Source organism: Homo sapiens, chromosome 13 (genome assembly GCF_000001405.40).
Source record: "Homo sapiens chromosome 13, GRCh38.p14 Primary Assembly".
NCBI classification, from domain to species: Eukaryota; Metazoa; Chordata; class Mammalia; order Primates; family Hominidae; genus Homo; species Homo sapiens.
In genome coordinates this window covers 21,115,952-21,122,492 of record NC_000013.11, presented here as the reverse complement: position 1 = coordinate 21,122,492, position 6,541 = coordinate 21,115,952, and positions in this window count along the sequence as shown.

Sequence of the window (6,541 nt, the reverse complement as noted above, 5' to 3'; positions counted from 1 at the left end):
AATGGTGGGAATGGTGCCTACTGGGATTGAGGAGGGAGCCTCAGCCTCCCAAAGTGCTGGGATTACAGGCATGAGCCACCGTGCCAGGCCAAATTTTTTTTAAGTATAGGAAAATATCTATAATACAGCTCATAAAATATTATCCATAATGTAAGAAAATGCATAGGAAAAGTGGGAGACATATTCTCTTTTTTTGGACACATATTCTAAGAAAAATATAACATATTGACAAAAGGGCTAATATCTTTTTTTTTGAGACAGTCTTGCTCTGTCACCCAGGCTGGAGTGCAGTGGTGCGATTTCAGCTCACTGCAAGCTCTACTTCCTTGGTTCATGCCATTCTCCTGCCTCAGCCTCCCAAGTAGCTGGGATTAAAGATGGACACCACCATGCCCAGCTAATTTTTTTGTATATTTAGTAGAGACAGGGTTTCACCATGTTAGCCAAACTGGTCTTGAACTCCTGACCTCAGGCAATCCGCCCGCCTTGGCCTCCTAAAGTGTTGGGATTACAGTCATGAGCCACCGCGCCCGGCCAATATCTTTAATATGTAAAGAATTCATAAGAAAAAAACCTCCAACTCCAATGGAAAAAGAAAACAAAAATTGAATTCATCCACTTGATAAATATTTATTGAATACTTCCTGCATTTGAGGCTCTGTTTAGGCTCTGCAGATGTTCAGTAAACAAACGAGAAAAAAACTCTGTCCCAGTGAAGTTTATAGTCATATGAAGAAGACAGGCAATAAAAAGAAGAAAATAAATAAGTGAATAATAGATCATGTTACAAAGCGGCCACGCATGGTGGCTCATACCTGTAATCCCAGCACTTTGGGAGGCCGAGGTGGGCAGATCAGCTGAAGTCAGGAGTTTGAGACCAGCCTGGCCAAAATGGTGAAACCCAATCTCTATTAAAAATTAAAAAACTAGCTGGTGTGGTGGCGCATGCCTGTAATCCCACCTGCTTGGGAGGCTGAGGCACGAGAATCACTTGAATCTGAAAGGCAGAGGTTGCAGTGAGCCAAGATCATACCACTGCACTTCACCCTGGGCAACAGAATGAGATTCTGTCTCAAAAAAAAAAAAAAGAAAAAAAGAAAAAAAAAGATTATATTATGAAGTGATCATTGTGGAAAAGGTAAAGCAGGGTAAGGGGCTTGGAGTGTTTGGGTAGGCATAGATGTTGCATTTTTAAGTGGGGACATTGGCCTGGCATGGTGGCTCACACCTGTTATCCCAGCACTTTGGGATGCTGAGGCAGGTGGATCACTTAAGGTCAGGAGTTCGAGACCAGCCTGGCTAACATGGCAAAACTGTCTTTACTAAAATAAAAAATTAACTGGGTGTGATGCGCATCTGTAGTCCTAGCTACTCAGAAGGCTGAGGTGGGAGGATAACGTGAGCCTGGGAGTTTGAAGTTGCAGAGAGCTATGATCGTGCTACTACACTCCATTCTGGGCGACAGAGCGAATAATCCCACTTCATAAAAATCAATCACCATAAGCAAAGTTAAAAAACAAATGACATGGCTGGGCGTGGTGCATGCCTGTAGTCCCAGCTACTTGGGAGGCTGAGGCAGAGGGGATCACTTGACCCCAGGAGTTCAAGGGTGCAATGAGCCCTGATTGTGCCACATCACTCCTGCTGGATGACAGAGCAAGACCCTGCCTATAAGCAGCAAACAAACGACAAACCAGAAAAAGATACTGGAAACTATGCCACAGACACGGGGCTATTCTAACTTCTTCTTATTATTATTATTTTAATTTCTATTTTTTTAGATTTTTTTGTAGAAACAAGGTTTCACCATGTTGCCCAGGCTGGTCTCGAACTCCTGGGCCCAAGCAATCCTCTCATCTTGGCCTCCCAAAGTGCTGGGATTGCAGGTGTGAGCCAATCTGTCCGGCCCTCTCTGACTTATAAGGAGTTCTTAGAAATAGAAAAGATTAATCCAAATGAAAAATGGGCAACGGACACAGTTTATAGAACAAGAAATGCAAATGGCCCTGGAATCAATGAACGGATGCTCAACCTCTCTCATGTAAGAGAAAAGTAGGCACATTAAAACTTGACGGAAATACTGCTTTCTACCTATTGCATCAGCAAAAACCCAAACGTTGAAGAAACAGGAGCTTTCCTAAGTTGCTGATGAAAATGTAAAATGTTACCACCCCAATAGGGAACACTTTGTCAATGCAGTATTTAATCCAACTTAAAAATATGTTTGACTCTGCAACCCCTTTTCTGAGTACTAATCATTCAGATACACAAACACGTATACAAAAGGCTATGGTTACAAGCTTGACACAACAAAAGACTTTAAACTAAAAAACCCAAATGCTCATCCGTCAGAGTTTGGTTAAATAAACTATGGCCCATTCACAAAAAGGAATATAATGCAGCAGTAAAAAATAATGAGGATATTATCATTGTCCAGGATATACCATTAAATGAACAAAAGCAACGTGCTGAGTATTGTAGACAGAGCGCTACATTTTATTTATAAAACGGGGAGGGGGAGGAGTAAGTAAGCACATTTGCATTGGTTTGTTCATGAATGAACATAGGAAAGGTCCATGAGGAACTAATACAAGTAGAAACCTATAGAGACTGTATACCTTATTTTATGTATGTATATGTATATATACACGTAAATATAATTATTAATATTTTATACTTATTGTACTTATTTTATAAACCTTATATTTACTAATAAAACATTTATTATTAATAAAAATATTTTATTTATTATTAATACAATAAATTATTTAATAATATTAATCATGTAATATATTAATATATAAATAATATATGAAAATACATTTAGTTATATTTTAAAATACTTTTTTTTTTTTTTTGAGATGGAGTCTTGCTCTGTTGCCCAGGCTGGAGTGCAGTGCTATAATCTCAGCTCACTGCAACCTCCGCCTCCTGAGTTCAACTGATTCTCCTGCCCCAGCCTAAAGAGTAGCTGGGATTGCAGGCACACACCATCACGCCTGGCTAATTTTTGTATTTTTAGCAGAGACAGGGTTTTGCTATGTTGGCCAGGCTGATCTCGAACTCCTGACTTCAGGTGATCTGCCTGTCTTGGCCTCCCAAAGTGCTGGGATTACAGGCGTGAGCCACCACACCCGGCCTAAAAATACTATTTTTGAACCATGTAGGCATATTAACCACTCAAGCAAGAAATAAAAACAAAAAATGAAAAAGCAAAGGAATGCTGAGTAAACTGAGATTGTGTTTGAGATTTAGCTTAATTGTTGATAGTTTATGCTCATAAATTATCTCCCCATTTGAAGAGGTCCTGTGTATGGAGGAAAGAAGAGTCCCAGATCACATGGAAGAAACATGAAATTAGAAAAGATAAACCATTGCCTGTGATTGCAAGTCGCAGGACACTTCATCATTCCTTCCTCCTGTACCCACTTTTTTTTTTTTTTTTTTTTTGAGACATGGTCTCATTCTGTCTCCCAGGATGGAGTGCAGTGGCACGATCTCAGCTCACTGTTGGCTCCACCTCCCAGGCTCAGGTGTGTGCCACCATACCTAGCTATTTTTGTATTTTTGTAGAGATGGGACCTCATTATGTTGCCCAGGCTGGTCTACAGCGATCCTCCTGCCTTGGCCTCCCAAAGGGCTGGTATTACAAACATAAGCCACTGCACCCAGCCACCCACAAAATCTTGAATGATGATTTCCTAAATCTTTCAAACTATTCTAATTATTTTTTACCATGTCAGTCTTTCTAGACCAATGCCTGGCACAGAGTTAAGTGGCACTTGCCCAGTGTTCTTTCTTTTCTTTCTTTCTCCAGGATGGTAGGGTCTGTTTTATTTTTCCTGCATCCTAGGGCATAGCTTGTGCCCGAGATCTAACATTCAACAAATGTTGGTTGAAACTGTGTATGAATGAATGAATGAGTGGCCAACAAATTGGTCCTACCTATTACACTTAAGAACATATGGAAAAAGTAAATATGAAGCAAAGGTGGTTACGTTAGTTACGTCTTCAATTAGACTTCTAGGAACAAGGTAAAAATTCTCAAAACTTGATCTATGTTATAAATTTCATATGCGCAGAACTTGTCATTGCTAAGGACATGATGTCATCATAGCTTTATAAATAGAATGGGAATCTTTAAGATCTTCCACTTTAGCTTTGAATATACTACAAAAGGTACAGTAGTTTCTTGACAGTGCTTAAAAGTGTAGTTACAAGGGACAAACAGTAATTATAGATCAGTATCATCAGGCTGTGCCTCGACTGCAGTCCAGCACGGCTCCTGGTGGCCTGCCACAGAGACAAGACAAAGCTGGAATTCCCCAGCTGAAAATGTGGCAGCTGCTAGGGAGCAGCCGCTGGGTGGGAGGGGTGCTGCCTCCCAAACAGAAAGTTCAGTGAAAAATCTCCATTCTTGGGGCGACTGGGTGGTCCCAACTGGTTAGGGCTGAGGTGAGTGACAGGAAATACTGAGCATGGTGTCTTTCCGATTCTTAAATTATGAATAAATACCATGCTGAACTCCCACACTTTTGCTTTCCAAACCCAGGTAATGCAAATGCAGATTCTCAGTCATTTTAATTTTGCTTACATTCACCATTTTTCCACGACCACTTGTGTGGATTTACATAAATTTCAAAAATGTATCTGTTTATAATGCCTATATAAAGATGGCTTTAGGCTTTTGGATGTGTTCATTGAGTGAAAATAAAAATAAGTGAAATAATAAGTAAAAATGGAAATAAGAAACTGGGAGGCACCAGCCTGGGCAACATAGTGAGACCCTCAAAAAAAAAAAAACAAAGGAAAGAAAAGAAAAACCCCAAGACAAACAAACAAAGGAAGCATTGTGTAGTGCTCTGAGGCCAGCTGCCTGGATTTGCTCATGGTTCTCCACTTGCTAACTCTGGGTGACCTTGGGGAATTTACTTAGTCCTGTGGTTTGAATGTGTCCCCTCTAAAACTCAGGTGTTGCCAATGTGACAGTATTAAGAGGTAGGCCTTTAAGAGGTGATTAGACCATGAGGACTCCTTCCTGGTTAATGGGATTAAGGCCCTTATAAAAGAGGCTTCATGTAGCATTTGCCCATTTGCCTCTCTACCCTCTGCCATATGAGGACACAGCATCCCTCCCCTCCAGAGGATACAGCCCTCACCAGATCACCAGATGCCATTGCCTTGACCTTGGACTTCCCAGCCTCCAGAACTGTGAGAAATTCCTTTGTATATTACCCAATTTCAGGTATCCTGCTATAACAGCACAATATGGACCAAGACACTTGGCCTTTTCATGCTTCAGAGTTCTCATCTATAATAGAGAAATAATCATGGCAGCCTCATAAGATTGCTAAGAGGATGCGGTTCAATGAGTTAATATTTGTAGAACACTAACGACAATGTCTGACACTTAGGAAATGCTGTTAAGTGCCATGTGTTAGGTGTGAGGGTAGTGGGGCAACTACTTTTTGTGCTTGTGTGACAGCAGTTTTGTGAGATATGTTTTTAGGAATCTGGCTTTGATTAGTTATTGGCTTTAATATCAGTTTTGTTCTATAAAAAGGCCCACTAACTCGTATGATGTCTGTTGGCCAAAGTAGCAGGAAATGGGAATCTCAGAAAGATTAACTGCAGAGTCAAAGCTTTCCATAGACAGCATAAAAAGCTGCTGCTCATGGTTGTGCAAACTGTGTTTTGCACCACTCTGTGTGAGCCCCGTCCCATTGTAGTTGTCATCAAATAGGACAGTGACTATGACCGTGTCCGGTAGCATGTGGTAAGGGGTCTGAAGAAAGGCTTGCCTTTTTCTTTCTTTCTTTTTTGAGATGGAGTCTCACTCTGCCACCTAGGCTAGAGTACAATGGCGCAATCTCAGCTCACTGCAACCTCCACCTCCTGGGTTCAAGTGATTCTCCTGTCTTAGCCTCCCAAGTAGCTGGGATTACAAGTGTGTGCCACCACACCCAGCTAATTTTGTATTTTTAGTAGACTCAGGGTTTGGCTATGTTGGTGAACAGGTTGGTCTCGAACTCCTGACCTCAAGTGATCTACCTGCCTTGGCCTCCGCAAGTGCTACTATTACAGGTGTGAGCCACCGCGCCAGCTGGCTTGCCTTTTTCTGGTTGAGTAAAAGTGTTGCTTGGCTAGCAAGGAGCATGGAGGAGCATTGGGGTGGAGTAAATGCCCTTGGGCAGAAGCTTCAGGGACTGCAGGGGGATGGGAAGCGGGGAGCAGGACCACAGGGAGGAAGGATAACACAATAGCAACGTGAGGGCTTCCCAGGCTGATGTCAATGCACCCACATGCCTGACCACCTGTAGGGGATGGCCCTGGGTGCTTCTACCAAGGTACTCAGCATCTCTGCAGCCCACTTGCCACAAGACTACATCCCGCAGTATACTTTGAATAAATCAGGAAGTTTGCCAGTAGGCTGAGTCTCCCATGTGATGTGTCACTCTGACCACGCACAGGCTAGCCCATGGCTACCCAAGTGTGCTCTGATGCCTGGCTGGCCTCACGTCCTTGCACCTCATCTCCTTTT